Raw genomic sequence first — 19455 nt, forward strand, 5'->3', positions numbered from 1 at the left:
TCTGGGAAGACTTCATCTGTTTAAGAACCATAATCTCAGCACCCTGAGATAAAACAACAACAACAACAAAAACAAAACAAAACAAGAAAAAGCTTTGATCCTTCCTACCAGAGTTTTCTTTTCATTGGATATTTAAAATATTCCATAATCTGACAACCTAATAATGCAAACCAGAAAAGAGAGCTACACGCAACATCACTGTATTTCCAATGAAATTAGGTTCCAGGAAGCTCAAAACAAGACAGTAGGTAGAGACAGCTATCATCCTTGGCGTTCTTCCTTTTGGATTCTGGATAAAAGGTAGAGGAATAACAGCACCGTTCTGAATGTTTTGGTTATTTTATGGCTCTAATTTCCATCGTGTTTTTTTTCTGAAGCATAGCTAATTGTTCATTAACAGTTAACAGATATTGATGGCTTAGCTATTTTTATCTTTTTATCTATTTCACAAAGGTCTATTTAGAATCTAGTAGTGTATTTCCTCTTTATTGTTAAGCACAGAAAAGGAACGCATTTTTTTCTGCTCATGCCTAGTTTCCTTTGATCTTTCTCAAAGGTAAATTACCCCTAAAACTTTGAGTAGACTGTCCTAGCAGATATTCTGAAGCTTGACAAGGAAATTCATCCCACTTCAATCCATAAAATGATAGTCTTCGTAACTTCTCAAAGAAGGTCAAGCTATTTATTTTAAAGTCATCTTTTGCTTTTCTTGATATTTCGTAAATGATGGCTGACAAGTTGTGATAGTCTACTTTTCAGCAGGACTGGTCTCCATTTACTTAGTTTAAGTAACTATTTACTTGATTACTATTATTAATATATGGTTTTAACTTTTTATTTGAAATAGTCATTTGATGATTTTGGTGATATTGATGACCACGAAATCAAATGGAGATATACAACTACAAGAAAAAAAACTGTAGAAATAAATGTCTTTTTCGTTATTTAAGACGTAAATCAACTGAGTTGCTGTGTAGCTTATTTATGTCAATGTTAAATTTGTGTTTGTTAATTTTTACTGTTTCCTTATTAAACATCAAAAATGATTAATTCTTTGGCAATTAATATCATAGCATATCCAGTACATTAAATGTCATGTAAAACAGACCGACAAAACAATCTTATCTTTTTTTTCTTTATGTCAGTGTTTAATACTCTCCTGTATGGCTTAGGAAAATTAAAGAAGATACAACAGAATATGCCTCAAATAAGACCTATTTGTTGATATTTAATATATTTATGATAGTTGCTGATAAAATGAAAACAGACATTATTCAATACACTGGATAATAATTACATAAATACAAAGTGTTTGGTGTTTTCATTTGCCTTTCTCAAATACTTTTTTTCTTTCTAGAGAGTTTAATGCACTGACGGGGGGTGGGGGGCGGTCCTATAATGGCACTGCAGGCTCAAATGGTGGTTAAAGCAGATTGCAAATACAGTGCTGTATGTTTCATATTATATTACCCTGTCTGTGAAAGTTGTATTGGATGTCTAAGATTCTGGTGGCATAAGTAATAGAAACATTAGGGTGATCAGAGTTTGTGTAGGACCATATTTGCTGGAAGGTGTTAGAAGAAGGAATAATGTAATACTTAAAGCCCAGTCTAAAACAAAGTGTGATTCTGTTTTACTAAGCATGTACCATTCAGGATACTGAACTGCAGAATTCTGTTCCAGAGGTGCTGGAGAGTGGTTCCTTCATTGCTAATTTTGCAGAGATTTTGGGCCTTAGGATGGGGAACTTGAGAGGTATGGGGAGCGAGAGGGTAATTCATGTTTCTATAGATTTAAAAAACTGCATTTTCAAATCAAAAGACTCAGGAGTGGGTACTAAATAGAAATTGGATCCATCTGTGAGTCTCAAAGCACCTTGGAAAAATGTAACTCATTTGAGTTACTCATTTGCCTTGAGAAAGGTAACTTGGAAAAATGAGTTACATTTTTACAAGGTGCCTTGGACTCACAGATATAGCCATTCACTAGTGTGTATTACTGGATCTAGGAATGCTGCAAAAAATCAAGGAGAGCATCTTGTAGAGACCATATAGATGGCAGAACATGTAGACAGAGCAGTATTCATAAGTATATTTTGAATCCTAATTCCCATGTCTTCTCTTCTGTTTGCTTAGAGAATGGTGGCAGAAAATATCCTGAATGAGGATGGGCAATTTTCTCAGTGGAAAGAAATGGGTTGAGGTTAATTTAACTATCATGATATTGGATGGTGGGTCCCCACATAGATCCAAATCTGCATTGGTCTTCACCAAAGTTGTGGGTTATCAGTGATTTTACTCAGCTGTAATATATAGTAGTTCAGTACAGTAATCCCAGAAAAAAAGTTTTTCCTCCCTGGCTATCACTTTTCTATCAGGAATTTGGATACAAGGTATAATATAAAACTATCTTTAAGGTTTTACCGGGCTACTGAAGACTTAATGAAAACTTTAATAAAGCATTTACATTGGTATAAAAGTACCAAAAGCAAACCCATCACTCAAACCCGTAAATTCCAAGGCTATACTAATCTACAGTGTGGATTCTGAGATCATCAATAATTAAAGACTCTAGAAAATGTAACTTCTTGCTGTAAAAGACAGTCCACTCCTAATCATCATGTCATCATTTATGAACTAGGTCCCAAGGAGCCATATCTGCTTTAAGACCATATCTGCTGTTTCCTGTGTTTCAGATCCAGATCACAGAAAAAAAAATAGATATTTGGGCTTCATAATACCACCTTCCCTTCACCCTAAAGCCTTCAATAGAGGTAGATTAAAGACAAGTACAATTCTATGATTACTGCCAGAGATCTGGAGTTACTGTAAGCTGAAAGGAAACAATATAACCAGGTCTTCATTTTCACCAAACTGCCTCTGCACTTATCAAGTATGAAAACACAGCCCTAGAGTGTGCATTTTAGCAGCACACTGCCATAAACAGAGACTTAGAAAAACACCCAAGTAACTTATTTGCTTCTGGTTTCCCAGGATGTGCAGTACTCCATGACAGTGGACACAAAGAATCTGTTTGTAAGGCCCATAAGAGTCAAGTTCTGTATGAGAGAAACAGACACTACTACTACCATGAGCTAGCAGCATGGTGTTGGTGTGGTTGGTAATATTTGATGGCAATGGCAATTCTCCTTTGTGTTATATTTAATGCAGAACGGATTATGTGATGTTCAAGGTGGTGGCAGTAGAAGGAGACTAGGTCTGGAAGGTCTTCATGTCCTATCAGTTACTCAAAGACTTGAGTCTCCATCTGTATAGCGTGTTAGCCCAACACTGGGAAGTGTGCACACTAGGTTTGTGAGTGATGGTAATCTAGCCAATCATAGACTTCAGGTTATGGTCAAGGACACTGAGATGCCACCTATGTATTCCAGATTCAGACAACAACTGCTGCTGGTCAGCTGTTTCTTTCAGCTCTACTGGCTACATCTTGACAGACCTCAGGAATATGGGGTCTGTCACTTAGATTCCTCACTTAGCATATACTATGGTTTTAGTATTCCTTTGTTTTCTTGTTGGCCTGCTTCTTTACACAGTAGATGTTCAAATAATTACTGTGATATGAAAATATGTTATAATTTTCAAGTATTTCCTTATATTTCTTTAGCATATCTAAATTGATTATTTATGCTTTGTATTTTGTAGTCAGAGTTTCAGGTTTCTTCCCCTCACCCCGTATTCTTTGCCCTCTCTACACCTTTGGATTTCTTCATTATTTACTAATTTTCGATATTGTATTTAGCCATATTATTTTCTTTTCTTTTTTTTTTTTTTTGAGATGGAGTCTCGCTCTGTTGCCCAGGCTGGAGTGCAGTGGCGCCATCTCAGCTCACTGCAAGCTCTGCCTCCCGGGTTCACGCCATTCTCCTGCCTCAGCCTCCCGAGTAGCTGGGACTCCAGGCGCCTGCCACCATGCCCAGCTAATTTTTTGTATTTTTAGTAGAGACAGGGTTTCACCGTGTTAGCTAGGATGGTCTCGATCTCCTGACCTCGTGATCCACCTGCCTTGGCCTCCCAAAGTGCTGGGATTACAGGCATAAGCCACAGCACCCAGTCCATATTTTCTTTTAAAGTAAAATTTCAATAGTGATCTTAGTGAAAATTCAATCATCTACCAGATTACCTAAACCTGATTTAAGTTTTAACCTATTTTAATCATAAAAAAAAGTCTGAGATTTTTGGAAGAGGTCATACCTCTGTCTCTCTCATCTCTATTTCCATCTATATCTGTCTATCTAGCTTTATCTGCAGTCCTGGTCAAGATTTTTATTTTCAAGGGGACAGATTGTCCTAATAGACTCTGATGGTTCTCCTTAAACAAAATTGGGCAAGATTCTTGTGCAGGTATCATTTTAAAAACCTTTTCTTGCTTATTTGTACTGTGGGAAGAGAATAAACAACACCATTTCCCCTTTTTGAGTTATATTTATTTCTTGTTTCATTTGCTTGTTTGTTTGTTGTTGTTGTTGTTGTTTGAGACAGGGTGTCGCTCTGTCTCCCAAGCTGGAGTGCAGTGGTGTGATCTCGGCTTACTGCAACCTCTGCCTCCAGGGCACAAGTGACGCTAACACCCCAGCCCCCTATGTAGCTGGGACTATGGGCGTGAGCCACCACACCTGGCTGATTTTTTTTTTTTTTTTTTGGTAGACATGGGGCTTTGCCACATTGCAGGCTGGTCTTCAAAACTCCTGGACTCAAGCAATCCACCCATCTTGGACTCCCAAAGTGCTGGGATTACAGGTGTGAGCCACCACGTGTAGCCGACCTTTATTTTGAAATCTTGTTTGCTTGAGCTTCATGAAATGTATGTCTTGATAGATTATGGGGAAACTTATTTGTATCCTCAATAAGGTAAAAGTAAATTAGTTGAATATGCCCCCAATTTTCACACTAGATTAGGGTAATAAACTATGCCAGAACACTCCCTTCTTGTCCTAGAATATTTCTCTTATATTTTCTGCAGAATCTTAGTGTTAGATCACTGAAAACCCCTCCTTCTTCTGCCATCTTATGGCTGAGTAAGTAAAGCCAGCTTGTGGGCAGAAGGCATTGAAAGGCTGAAGATCCCTCTCTATTGAAAGAGGGATACTAGTGGGGATAATATCTCCATATCATTTGGCATTATCTTTGATAGGAAAATGGTCATGTAAATCCCTTTGACTACCCTTTCTCCTAATTCTTGTAATTTTCATCTCATGGCAGTCAAAAGATCAAATCACCCTTTAGTCCAAAAAAGAGAGAGGCAAGCTTAATTATGACAGATACTCAAACAATGTGTTCTTATTTAGTTTTTGAATGGCTGTACTTTTGTAATAAGACTGTAATGACTTGCTTTCATTTTTGGTATGTTTTTGAAAATATTTTTCTATTCCTGTATATGAAATTATTTGTGTAACATTTTAATATGTTAGATTTTATTAAATGAATCTTCAAAATTATGAAAGTGACTCCTAGGATAATGTCTCTGCTTGTGCAGCATATGAAAAGTAAAGCGAAACCTAAGAAATTAAACCTACTGTAATAACATAATTTTTAAATTATGCAATAGATTCCCCTCATTATAATATAAATAATTACTATATGTAAACATATTTCATTCAGACTTATAAATATGCTATAAATTATAATCTAATATATATGATTCCTTATTAAAGGAGATTAAGAAAATAAGAGCATTTGTAAAGAAGGAAGGTGTATTCTCATCAAGGTTTAAGAAAATAAATGATTTAAAATAGCATAGCGGATATAATGCATTTAAAGCTGGAAACCTATATACGAATATAAAATATTGGTGTTGGTTATATAATCTTTGAAAAAGAGAAACTTACTTCTATTTCTAGGTGTGTTAATAGCATTGAAATGAAAGATGGGTAAAACCTTCTGAATTGTGAGGACACATGACAACATGAGAGGTTTTAAAATTTTTTTCACAATAAAACCTAATGTGTTCTTGGTTATTGTATCCTCTGAAATATCTTAGATATTAAGTTTTCTATTCTCCAGCTTGTGAGAAGAGATTATGTTATTTTCTTCATATTACCTATTTTCCTCTCCTTTATGTTATCCCAAATTAACCATAACTGCTTTAGTTCAGAAAACCTGTCCAAAGGAAATAGCCATATACCTGGTTAAATATAAAATTTCGAGTAACCTACCAGTTATAATTTGCCTGTATGATATAACTGATCTTCACTACATCTATTTCGGACCCTAATCAGGTTTTGCAGATTATATAAAAAGCTGTTTTTAAAGACTTGGACCTTGGGTGTTATTCACCTCAATGAATTTGTTTAATGCTCAATGTCAATGAATTAACATATTTTGAATTATTATAACATCCATATAAAAGTAATAATCATGGAAAGCAAAAAATAATATCAACAGGTAGAGATAGGCATTTGTTTTCTAAATGTTAAGAAAAGGAACCTGTGATTATCCTTTTTTTAGCCAGTTACAAGATGATAAATGAGAGCTTTTTAAAATATTATGCTATTGTTACATTTAATAAATCATCCAGTCCAGTTTTCTGAAAATACAGGGGATAGAAGAACAGGTTAAATGATACCATGAGGAAACAATCAAATTTGGAATGTAGGACATCCTACAAAACAACTAGTCTGGACACTTCAGAAATCTAATGTCATTAAAGATGGGGGAGTATTCTAGAGTAAATAGATCTAATAGCCAAATACAATTATCAAAGTTGGTTGAAAAAGTTTCTAAGACATTCCTTATAACAAATAGTTAAAAAAGTAAGTGCATTTGTCAAAGGAACTTGAGTGAGTGTGAATTCTTATCAAAATTGAGGAAAAGATAATGGAAAGACAGTGAAATTTGATTGGGGCTGGATTTTAGATAACTGTAGAATTTTTTTAAATTTTCTTAGGTATGATAGAACCATTATGATTATATGAGATAATATTATAATTATGTGATACCTGCTGAAATATTTAGAGGTGAAATATGATGTCTGCAAGTTACTTTCATATAAGTCATCAGAAAAGCGGGTGTGTGTACAGAATAAGATAGAACAAATATGGTAAAATATAAACAATTGTTAAGTTTGGATGGAGGTTAGAGTTGTAGTTTATGTATAGTTCTTTTAACTGTTCTATATATTTAATTTTTTTCTTCATCCCCCAATTTTTTAACCCAATGGATCTTTTAGAGACACATCCTAATATTTATTATTATTATTATTATTTTGAGATGGAGTCTCGCTTTGTCACCAGGCTTGGAGTGCAATGGCATGATCTCAGCTCACTGCAATCTCCGCCTCCCGGGTTCAAGTGATTCTCCTGCCTCACCCTCCCAAGTAGCTGGGATTACAGGCACCCATCACCATGCCTGGCTCATTTTTTTTGTATTTTTAGTAGAGATGGGGTTTCACCAGGTTGGCCAGGATGGTCTTGATCTCTTGACCTCGTGATCTGCCTGCCTCGGCCTCCCAAAGTAAAATTATTTTTTAAAGCAGCCTTAGAGTTTACAGAAAATTGAGCAAATAGTACAAACAGTTCCCCTCACATACCGATTTTCTCCCACTCAAAGTTTCCCTGTTATCAAAATCTTGCATTACTGTGGTACATTTGTTACAATTGATGAGCCAATACTGGTAAATTATTAACTAAATTTCATAGTTTAGTGTTCACTCTTTGTGTTGTATAGTTCTGTGGATTTTGACAACGGCATAATGTCATGTATCTACCATTGTAGTATCGTAAAGTACCCCATGTTTAACCTCTTCATCCCCCTCCCTCTTCTTCCTAGCTATCACTTGTCTTTTAAATGTCTCTATAATTTGGCCTTTTTCAGAGTATCATGTAATTTGAATTATACAGTATCATTGCCTTTTCAGACTGGATTCTTTCACTGAGAAATATGCATTTAAGTTTCCTTCATGTCATTCTGTGGCTTGATAACTTCTTTATATTAACATTAAAAAAGAAACAAAAAGACAAAATTAAAAAACCTAACAACAAACAATGACATATATACCCTGTTTGGAAGCAGATTGAAGAAACCATCACTGAAAAGACATTTTTAAAGATAATTGGGGAAACTGGAATATTTACTGGCTATTTAATATTATGAAATTGCTCTTTGCTAGATGTGGTAATTGAATTGAGGTTATGTTGAAAGTTCTCCTAGGCATTAGAAAGGAAAATAATATTGATACATTTACAATAAGGAAATATCTGGCTGCTCTTGGAGAGTTTCATGAGGCTCAGACACATCAAAGTTCAGGAAAATGTGAAGTGGGAGCAGTGCAAAGAAAGAAATATGAGTAAGGAGACTATTTCAGTGCCCATTAAAATACTCTTATTTGGATTCTGTGCTTTTCCTGGGTCTCTGTTTTTCAGCTGGGTTTGAGTGTGATGATGGTAATCTAACCACCACTGAGTTGCACACATGCCCAAACTCTGAATAAAAATAGAACTTTCTTAGTCTAAGCCTTCTTTCCGAAGCATGCTAGGACTGAGATCACTCCCTTCCAGGTTCTGAAATTTATTTTTTCCAGTTTGAAAAAAAAAAAAAGCTTGGATTTGTGAGGGAAGTGAAGATTTATTTATTCTTGCCCTGTCTCTATGGGTGCAATGAAGAGCCTTTCGAAACGCCAATAAGACTTCGGTACACTGAGAGACACTACTTGAAAATACTCAATTTCGATTGCCATCAGCCTGAAAGAAAGCACTGGGATTTTCTTAAAGTTTAGGAGAAAATAAATACTCGGAAGAGACGCGGGGTGGCGCTGCAGCCTTAGAAGTAGCAGAAACAAAGCACCCAGCCGACGCTCCCTTACCCAGATACTCAGCTAAAGAAGCAGCAAGCAGGAAGAGGAGGCTTTCTAAGGCGGTCGCTCCGGGAAATCCGGGCCCTAGGATTGTCCACTCATCCCAGTATCAGCGAGATACGGGGAGATAGAGTTAGCGACAACGTGAGCCAGAGCTGGAGCACGTTTGGTGAGAGACCAGAAAGCAATGGAGGCCGGAGAGGGGAAGGAGCGCGTTCCGAAACAAAGGCAAGTCCTGATATTCTTTGTTTTGCTGGGCATAGCTCAGGCTAGTTGCCAGCCTAGGCACTATTCAGTGGCCGAGGAAACGGAGAGTGGCTCCTTTGTGGCCAATTTGTTAAAAGACCTGGGGCTGGAGATAGGAGAACTTGCTGTGAGGGGGGCCAGGGTCGTTTCCAAAGGAAAAAAAATGCATTTGCAGTTCGATAGGCAGACCGGGGATTTGTTGTTAAATGAGAAATTGGACCGGGAGGAGCTGTGCGGCCCCACAGAGCCCTGTGTCCTACCTTTCCAGGTGTTACTAGAAAATCCCTTGCAGTTTTTTCAGGCGGAGCTACGGATTAGGGACGTAAATGATCATTCCCCAGTTTTCCTAGACAAAGAAATACTTTTGAAAATTCCAGAAAGTATCACTCCTGGAACTACTTTCTTAATAGAACGTGCCCAGGACTTGGATGTAGGAACCAACAGTCTCCAAAATTACACAATCAGTCCCAATTTCCACTTTCATCTTAATTTACAAGACAGTCTCGATGGCATAATATTACCACAGCTGGTGCTGAACAGAGCCCTGGATCGCGAGGAGCAGCCTGAGATCAGGTTAACCCTCACAGCGCTAGATGGCGGGAGTCCACCCAGGTCCGGCACGGCCCTGGTACGGATTGAAGTTGTGGACATCAATGACAACGTCCCAGAGTTTGCAAAGCTGCTCTATGAGGTGCAGATCCCGGAGGACAGCCCCGTTGGATCCCAGGTTGCCATCGTCTCTGCCAGGGATTTAGACATTGGAACTAATGGAGAAATATCTTATGCATTTTCCCAAGCATCTGAAGACATTCGCAAAACGTTTCGATTAAGTGCAAAATCGGGAGAACTGCTTTTAAGACAGAAACTGGATTTCGAATCCATCCAGACATACACAGTAAATATTCAGGCGACAGATGGTGGGGGCCTATCTGGAACTTGTGTGGTATTTGTCCAAGTGATGGATTTGAATGACAATCCTCCGGAACTAACTATGTCGACACTTATCAATCAGATCCCAGAAAACTTGCAGGACACCCTCATTGCTGTATTCAGCGTTTCAGATCCTGACTCCGGAGACAACGGAAGGATGGTGTGCTCCATCCAAGATGATCTTCCTTTTTTCTTGAAACCTTCTGTTGAGAACTTTTACACTCTGGTGATAAGCACGGCCCTGGACCGGGAGACCAGATCCGAATACAACATCACCATCACCGTCACCGACTTCGGGACACCCAGGCTGAAAACCGAGCACAACATAACCGTGCTGGTCTCCGACGTCAATGACAACGCCCCCGCCTTCACCCAAACCTCCTACACCCTGTTCGTCCGCGAGAACAACAGCCCCGCCCTGCACATCGGCAGCGTCAGCGCCACAGACAGAGACTCGGGCACCAACGCCCAGGTCACCTACTCGCTGCTGCCGCCCCAGGACCCGCACCTGCCCCTCGCCTCCCTGGTCTCCATCAACGCGGACAACGGCCACCTGTTCGCTCTCCAGTCGCTGGACTACGAGGCCCTGCAGGCGTTCGAGTTCCGCGTGGGCGCCGCAGACCGCGGCTCCCCGGCGTTGAGCAGCGAGGCGCTGGTGCGCGTGCTGGTGCTGGACGCCAACGACAACTCGCCCTTCGTGCTGTACCCGCTGCAGAACGGCTCCGCGCCCTGCACCGAGCTGGTGCCCCGGGCGGCCGAGCCGGGCTACCTGGTGACCAAGGTGGTGGCGGTGGACGGCGACTCGGGCCAGAACGCCTGGCTGTCGTACCAGCTGCTCAAGGCCACGGAGCCCGGGCTGTTCGGCGTGTGGGCGCACAATGGCGAGGTGCGCACCGCCAGGCTGCTGAGGGAGCGCGACGCTGCCAAGCAGAGGCTGGTGGTGCTGGTCAAGGACAATGGCGAGCCTCCGCGCTCGGCCACCGCCACGCTGCACGTGCTCCTGGTGGACGGCTTCTCCCAGCCCTACCTGCTGCTCCCGGAGGCGGCACCGGCCCAGGCCCAGGCCGACTTGCTCACCGTCTACCTGGTGGTGGCGTTGGCCTCGGTGTCTTCGCTCTTCCTCTTCTCGGTGCTCCTGTTCGTGGCGGTGCGGCTGTGCAGGAGGAGCAGGGCGGCCTCGGTGGGTCGCTGCTCGGTGCCCGAGGGCCCCTTTCCAGGGCAGATGGTGGACGTGAGCGGCACCGGGACCCTGTCCCAGAGCTACCAGTACGAGGTGTGTCTGACTGGAGGCTCCGGGACAAATGAGTTCAAGTTCCTGAAGCCAATTATCCCCAACTTCGTTGCTCAGGGTGCAGAGAGGGTTAGCGAGGCAAATCCCAGTTTCAGGAAGAGCTTTGAATTCACTTAAGTGTTAATAAGGATCTACTGAGGCTAGTCTCGTTTAATTTGTGGAAAGTCCTTTTTTACTGCTTTGCCCATTGGAGGTGTCTCCTTTTATTAGAAAGTAACCATCTTATTCCAATTCTATGCATGTTACTGGTATTTATAAATGTATGAGTTTTTTTGCGGTATAATAAATGTAAATTTTCTTTGTATTCTAATTGTTGGTTAGTTTCATTGCAATTTAATTGCATTTAAAGTGTAAAAGTAAATTTTGTATTTTCAGAAATCTTTAAGTTAGAGCATCTTTTCCAGACCTCACAGTCTATGGTCCTAGATAATTTTGAAGTCCTACATTTGAAAATATTTGTTATCATTACATGAGTTATATTTTCCAGCCCAGAATATTTGTGTTTTTTATATCCTCTTAGGCTAGTGTAAATTCTATCCTGTGAATTCACATTGGCTAACCCTTTAAATAGGTATATTTATGAATAATATAGCAAGCACCGTCCTTACGTTTTTCAATATATGTAATTTTTTTTTTTTTTTGAGATGGAGTTTTGCACTTGTTGCTCAGGCTGTAGTGGAGTGCAATGGCGCAATCTCGGCTCGCCGCAACCTCTGCCTCCCGGGTTCAAGCGATTCTCCTGCCTCAGCCTCCCAAGTAGCTGGGATTACAGGCATGCATCATTATGCCCGGCTAATTTTGTATTTTTAGTAGAGACAGGGTGTCTCCATGTTGGTCAGGTTGGTCTTGAACTCCTGACCTTAGGTGATCTGCCCACCTCAGCCTCCCAAAGTGCTGGGATTACAGGCGTGAGCCACCGCCCCCCAGTCCAATATGTATACTTCTTTCAAGTGTTGACATATGAAAAGTATTAGTCTTTAGAGATTGTAAGAATTTTAACTGTTGGATTCTACAAGGCACTAACATCATAAGTGCTCTAATAAATTTTTGTCAAAAGTCAATCATTAATATTCAAAAATGTAGATAAATAATACATGTCTAGCAATTTTCAAAGGCATGCTAATTCATCATGCTTTCTCTTTCAAATAGTTTTTTTAAGAGCCCTCTGCTTATTCCAGTCCCCCCCTTTAAAATCTTTTAAAATTATTAATAACCTATTAACTTTGAGCACTTCATTAAAATCCAAAAAATTTGAGGGAGTACATGTCTTTGTCCTTTACCTTTAGAACCCTCAAACATAGCTTGGTATTGCTGTTTTTAAAATTTTCTGGAGCATTTAGGATTCACTTAGAAACAAGCCTTTAGGGAGAAAAATTTATCTAGCACCACTCACTCTATTTTTTTGCACTGACTACTTCTATTTTTCCCCCTTTCATTTCCCTAGACTTTTCAATGCTTTTTTATAAAGGTGCTTGAGTTCTGTTTCTCAACAGCTCCCTCATTTATTGAATGATTCACACAGTCACTGGAATATTATAGGCTCTTAATAAAATTTTTGAATGATTGAAAGAGAGAAAAGTATTTTACCTGTGATATATTGATATTTAAATAAACTAGAACACTTAAAGGAAAACATTTTGCTGGAATCAAATACTCTTTGGTGTACAATGAATTATAATTTTGTTATTAATTGAATTGGTTACCATTGTTTGAACATGCAGTTATCATTCTGTTGTCGCTTTCCTTCAACATATTTTTACTTTTTCTCTTAATGCTTAAATTGAGCCTCCTTTCCTGTCCACTGGCTTAAGGAATACAGATGGCTTTTAATTTTATTACTTAAATTTCCTTCCATAGTTCCCTAAATGACTCACCCAACTGTTTTCATTTCTTGCAGTTTACTTTCTGATCCATACATTAAAACAAATCTTAATTCTTAATGTTACTCAGTCTATCTTTATATTTTTATATCATTTTTACATACATTTGAATGAGCTATCCTATTAAAATTTTAATATTAACTTTGAAGGTCTTGTTTTGAGATTAGCAATGGTGTAGAGCGCTGTGTTGGTATCAAAAGTCTCTGATCAACCAACTCATTACCTGTAGGATTTTGGATGAGTCACAAAGTTTCTTTTCTTCTACCCAAATGATAGCAGGTATTTGAATAGCTTGCAGTTATACTCAATATAAAGACATAAAAGTGAAATTGCTGTTATTTTTAGTATCACTAGTATTAAGAGCAAACATTCTTGATAATTGTGTAGAAGTACAAAAGCGGCTACATTGAACACATATTTGCACTGTTTTATTTCTGTACCAACAACCTTGCAATGGCTTCCTTTTGTTCTTAGAATAATAAAATCCAAGCGCCCATTATTTGGCCTTGGTTTACCTTTTCAGCCTTCCTTTCCACTTACTCTTGAGACATTAAGTTTTGTATTCACTGTACTTCATTCATTATCTATTAATAGCTATGCTTTGCTCTCTCAGGGCCTTCACACATTCTACAGTCTTAGCCTGGCACACTTCTCCTATTTCATGTTTCAGATTAAATGGTGCACCTTGGGGGAAACTTTCTTAATCACTCTCCATTAAGTTAGGTCCCCGTATTGCATACTTTCAGTGCACTCAGTACCTTTTCTATGTAGCACTTTTCACACTGTTTAAACATCTGTTTAAAGACTGTACACCCACTAGATGGAAAATTGTTGTAAGATATACAGACATTGTCTTGTTACCACCACTTGCCTAACTTCTACAAACTCAACAATTATCTGTGGAAATAAACTAATACAGATGAAATGAATAATTGTAAATTTGCTCTGAAATAAGAAGAGAAAGCACTTTAAGTGTTCCTTGAGCATGATAATCTGGAAGAAATTAGGTATTTGTAGTCCTCTGGATCCACCTCTGACATGATATATTTTCTTTTTTACCACCTTGCAGGAGGTGTCTTTTCCTTGTGTTTTTCTGGTATATGCAATTCGGGCTCATTTCACAAAGTTTAGGAAAAAAAGAAAAACATAAATAGGATAGTGAAGCATGCTATCATCTAGAGCAAAAATCTTTTGAAGTTTGTGTGTAATTATTACAAAAGGGGAGGGGTAAACTAGTATGTGTACACTTCCGTTAAATCGTGTAAATGAGGACTCTACCAGGAAGAATCGCTGCTCGTAGATAAAAGTGCATTTTATTTCCCTAGATTGCATTTATTTAATTCATATAACATGAGAAACTCCTCCAGTAGCGTCAACTAGGGTTGATAAGAATAATCGATAAAGCAAAATAAAAACACCTTCTCCAAGATTTTGTAACTGCAAGCGAACGCATGGTGGCGCTGTTGACTAAGAAGGCGAATTAAACCACAGGCATTGTGCATGCTCGGTGACGCACGGATCCAGTGTGGTAAACCAGCGGTTGAGAGCCCAGGCAGATTTTTGAGCCAGCAAGTCTGAGCCTCTGGAAAGGCTTATTCACTAGGCCGTCTACAAAGGTTGTGGGGCAAAAGACTGTTTCCCAGCTCTGTCTGAGGTTCAGCTTGGCGACATTCCCTGGAAGAGCGTGACGGAAAGTGCAATGGAGGCGGGAGGAGAGCGATTTCTTAGACAAAGGCAAGTCTTGCTTCTCTTTGTTTTTCTGGGAGGGTCTCTGGCTGGGTCCGAGTCAAGACGCTATTCTGTGGCTGAGGAAAAAGAGAAGGGCTTTTTAATAGCCAACCTAGCAAAGGATCTGGGACTAAGGGTAGAGGAACTGGCCGCGAGGGGGGCCCAAGTTGTGTCCAAAGGGAACAAACAGCATTTTCAGCTCAGTCATCAGACAGGTGATTTGCTCCTGAATGAGAAATTGGACCGGGAGGAGCTATGCGGCCCCACAGAACCATGCATACTACATTTTCAGATATTACTGCAAAACCCTTTGCAATTCGTTACAAACGAGCTCCGTATCATAGATGTAAATGACCATTCTCCGGTATTCTTTGAAAATGAAATGCATCTGAAAATCCTAGAAAGCACTCTGCCAGGAACAGTAATTCCTTTGGGAAATGCTGAGGACTTGGATGTGGGAAGAAACAGCCTCCAAAACTACACTATCACTCCGAATTCCCACTTCCACGTACTCACTCGCAGTCGTAGGGACGGAAGGAAGTACCCGGAACTAGTACTGGATAAAGCGCTCGATCCGGAGGAGCAGCCGGAACTCAGCTTAACGCTCACCGCGCTGGACGGCGGCTCTCCCCCTCGGTCTGGGACAGCCCAGATAAACATCCAGGTCTTAGATATAAACGACAATGCACCAGAATTTGCACAGCCGCTCTATGAGGTTGCAGTTCTAGAGAATACCCCCGTTAACTCTGTCATTGTCACTGTCTCGGCTTCTGACTTAGATACAGGAAGTTTTGGGACAATATCATATGCATTTTTTCATGCTTCTGAAGAAATTCGCAAAACTTTTCAGCTAAATCCAATTACTGGTGATATGCAACTGGTCAAATATTTGAATTTTGAAGCGATTAATAGTTATGAAGTCGACATCGAGGCCAAGGATGGCGGAGGCCTATCCGGAAAGTCTACAGTCATAGTCCAGGTGGTTGATGTCAACGACAACCCACCGGAACTGACCTTGTCTTCAGTAAACAGCCCTATTCCTGAGAACTCGGGAGAGACTGTACTGGCTGTTTTCAGTGTTTCTGATCTAGACTCTGGAGACAACGGAAGAGTGATGTGTTCCATTGAGAACAATCTCCCCTTCTTCCTGAAACCATCTGTAGAGAATTTTTACACCCTAGTGTCAGAAGGCGCGCTGGACAGAGAGACCAGATCCGAGTACAACATTACCATCACTATCACTGACCTGGGGACACCCAGGCTGAAAACCAAGTACAACATAACCGTGCTGGTCTCCGACGTCAATGACAACGCCCCCGCCTTCACCCAAATCTCCTACACCCTGTTCGTCCGCGAGAACAACAGCCCCGCCCTGCACATCGGCAGTGTCAGCGCCACAGACAGAGACTCAGGCACCAACGCCCAGGTAACCTACTCGCTGCTGCCGCCCCAGGACCCGCACCTGCCCCTCTCTTCCCTGGTCTCCATCAACGCGGACAACGGCCACCTGTTTGCCCTCAGGTCGCTGGACTACGAGGCCCTGCAGGCGTTCGAGTTCCGCGTGGGCGCCACAGACCGTGGCTCCCCGGCTTTGAGCAGCGAGGCGCTGGTGCGCGTGCTGGTGCTGGACGCCAACGACAACTCGCCCTTCGTGCTGTACCCGCTGCAGAACGGCTCCGCGCCCTGCACCGAGCTGGTGCCCCGGGCGGCTGAGCCGGGCTACCTGGTGACCAAGGTGGTGGCGGTGGACGGCGACTCGGGCCAGAACGCCTGGCTGTCGTACCAGCTGCTCAAGGCCACGGAGCCCGGGCTGTTCGGCGTGTGGGCGCACAATGGCGAAGTGCGCACCGCCAGGCTGCTGAGCGAGCGCGACGCGGCCAAGCACAGGCTGGTGGTGCTGGTCAAGGACAATGGCGAGCCTCCGCGCTCGGCCACCGCCACGCTGCATGTGCTCCTGGTGGACGGCTTCTCCCAGCCCTACCTGCCTCTCCCGGAGGCGGCACCGGCCCAGGCCCAGGCCGACTTGCTCACCGTCTACCTGGTGGTGGCATTGGCCTCGGTGTCTTCGCTCTTCCTCTTTTCGGTGCTCCTGTTCGTGGCGGTGCGGCTGTGCAGGAGGAGCAGGGCGGCCTCGGTGGGTCGCTGCTCGGTGCCCGAGGGCCCCTTTCCAGGGCAGATGGTGGACGTGAGCGGCACCGGGACCCTGTCCCAGAGCTACCAGTACGAGGTGTGTCTGACTGGAGGCTCCGGGACAAATGAGTTCAAGTTCCTGAAGCCAATTATCCCCAACTTCGTTGCTCAGGGTGCAGAGAGGGTTAGCGAGGCAAATCCCAGTTTCAGGAAGAGCTTTGAATTCAGTTAAGTGTTAATAAGGATCTACTGAGCCTCGTCTTAGTTAATCTGTGGAAAGTCCTTTTTTACTGCTTTGTCCATTGGAGAGGTCTTTTTTGGTCTGGTTCAAGGCAAGTAGCAAGAATAGAGCAAAATATCAAATCCAGGGATGGCTTAGGTTTCATTAACAGTACTGGAAAGTAGTTGTGTGGCTCTGAATGTTTTGTATTTCAATCGAGAATCCTTAGTCGATAGAACATTTTGTTTATATATTGATTCTACTTTTTCTGTAGTTAATCCTTGCATATTCTCCTTTCATCCTGGCTTGCCAACGCAGTCTTAATTCCGCCTTTTTTTTTTCTAATGGGGAGCAAAAAGAAATTCACTGTCTTTTAATAGTGATTTCAAATAGCTTATTAAAATAACTCCATTCAAATTTTACATTATAAAGCAATGTAGAGAGAGTTCCAAACCACCAATTTTATAATTTCCCTTGTTGAATATATTCATATAATGTGTTCTATAATATGCCCAAAGCAGCTTTGTCTATAGTTAACAAAGTTTTAAGGATAGACAAGAATGTGTTTTCTTTAATAAATAGTAATATATCATCTTTTTAGGGATATAGTACTCAAATGAAAGTAATTTAGTTCATTTTCTGTGTTGACATTTGCAATTAATATTTCAATATTTTATGTGCTTATATTGGCCAAAATATGGACACAAATATAGACTAATATGGGTAATTACCCTTTGGTTTATCTAAAGTGTGTTCATGATGACTGAGGAAAAAAATTAAACCTATGCCATTTAAAAAACTGACTGTTCTTTTCCATTTGACACAAAAACGTTGTTTAGTAAGACATCTGGTGGAACAACTATTTGTTTCATAAATTCTGAGATGTAAGTGTTATGAATCTGAGAGACAATTTTTAATTTCAAGAAAATACATGGGTATATGATATCTAAATGCTTCAAGGTAAAAGTGGTGTCCTATCCAGTCCTATTTTTTTTTTTTTTTTTTTTTTTTTTGAGACGGAGTCTCGCTCTGTCGCCCAGGCTGGAGTGCAGTGGCGGGATCTCGGCTCACTGCAAGCTCCGCCTCCCGGGTTCACGCCATTCTCCTGCCTCAGCCTCCCAAGTAGCTGGGACTACAGGCGCCCGCCACTACACCCGGCTAATTTTTTGTATTTTTAGTAGAGACGGGGTTTCACCGTTTTAGCCGGGATGGTCTCGATCTCCTGACCTCGTGATCCGCCCGCCTCGGCCTCCCAAAGTGCTGGGATTACAGGCGTGAGCCACCGCGCCCGGCCCAGTCCTATTTTATTATTAATACCTACTTGCCACTTGTATGATGATATAGGAGAAAGATATTTTCTTTTTTTCCTGTCTTGGTTCCCTCCTTCAGATTTTAACCTGACATGATTTAGGATTATATATGGTCTTTCTGGGATAGAAACTGTCCATCCTTATCAGCATCCTACCTCCTGCAATGTAATTAAAAGAAGATGTACAAGAATAGAAAGTTCTAAAAAGGAGAGGGCAATATCGTTGTGAAACTCTAAATTAGCTACAACTAAGAATAAAATCTGGAAGCAACCAAAACATGGAATCTTATGGTTATCTTGAGTAAAATAAAAAAACTTATTTTAAGCGACAAAATATTTAGCTCCTAATTAGGGAAGTGTATTAGGAAAAAATTAATTTTCTTCTTACAAGCATTTCTTCACCCACAGAACATCCATATAACTTTCTAGCAATTAAATACTCATGACTAGAGAAAAGAGAATTTCTCAAAGATTTTAAAAATTCCCCAAAAAGCAAGAGTTTAAGATTGACATGCTTTCAAACATATGTTAAAGTGTAGTTATTATCACATTTAAATGGTGTAATTTTATGTAACAGCATCAAATTCATAAATACTTTTTAAAAAAAATTTTTGAGACAGGGCCTTGCTCTGTTGCCCAGGCTGGAGTGCAGTGGTACAATCATGGCTCACTGCAGTCTCAATCTCCTGGGCTCAAGGGATCTGACCACCTCAGCCTCCAGAGTAGCTGGGACCATAGGTGTGTGCCACCACACCCAGCTATTTAACAACAAAAAAAATTTATTTGTAGAAATGGGGTTTCCCCATGTTGCCCAGGCTGGTCTGGAACTCCTGTGCTCAAGGGATCCTCCTGCCTCCACTTCCCAAAGTGCTAGGATTAACAGGTATGAACCACCATGCCCAGCCAAATATGT

The 19455-nt window shown here is 40.9% G+C and overlaps 2 protein-coding genes and 1 further gene across 2 annotated transcripts; all 3 read left to right on the forward strand.

The window, feature by feature from the left end:
• PCDHB@ (protocadherin beta cluster) overlaps positions 1–19455 on the forward strand; it is a 197972-nt gene that overhangs the window by 34402 nt on the left and 144115 nt on the right.
• Positions 8820–12908, forward strand: PCDHB2 (protocadherin beta 2). The gene has a single exon (NM_018936.4). The coding sequence runs from the start codon at positions 8996–8998 to the stop codon at positions 11390–11392; it is 2397 nt and encodes a 798-aa protein (NP_061759.1). The 5' UTR covers positions 8820–8995; the 3' UTR covers positions 11393–12908.
• PCDHB3 (protocadherin beta 3) lies at positions 14678–18032 on the forward strand. The gene has a single exon (NM_018937.5). The coding sequence runs from the start codon at positions 14855–14857 to the stop codon at positions 17243–17245; it is 2391 nt and encodes a 796-aa protein (NP_061760.2). The 5' UTR covers positions 14678–14854; the 3' UTR covers positions 17246–18032.

The sequence above is a fragment of the Homo sapiens genome, chromosome 5, assembly GCF_000001405.40.
Source record: "Homo sapiens chromosome 5, GRCh38.p14 Primary Assembly".
Lineage (NCBI taxonomy): Eukaryota > Metazoa > Chordata > Mammalia > Primates > Hominidae > Homo > Homo sapiens.

Coding starts and splice junctions, on each gene's coding strand:
- PCDHB2 (NM_018936.4), top strand. CDS start 8,996: ATGGAGGCCGGAGAGGGGAAGGAGCGCGTTCCGAAACAAAGGCAAGTC.
- PCDHB3 (NM_018937.5), top strand. CDS start 14,855: ATGGAGGCGGGAGGAGAGCGATTTCTTAGACAAAGGCAAGTCTTGCTT.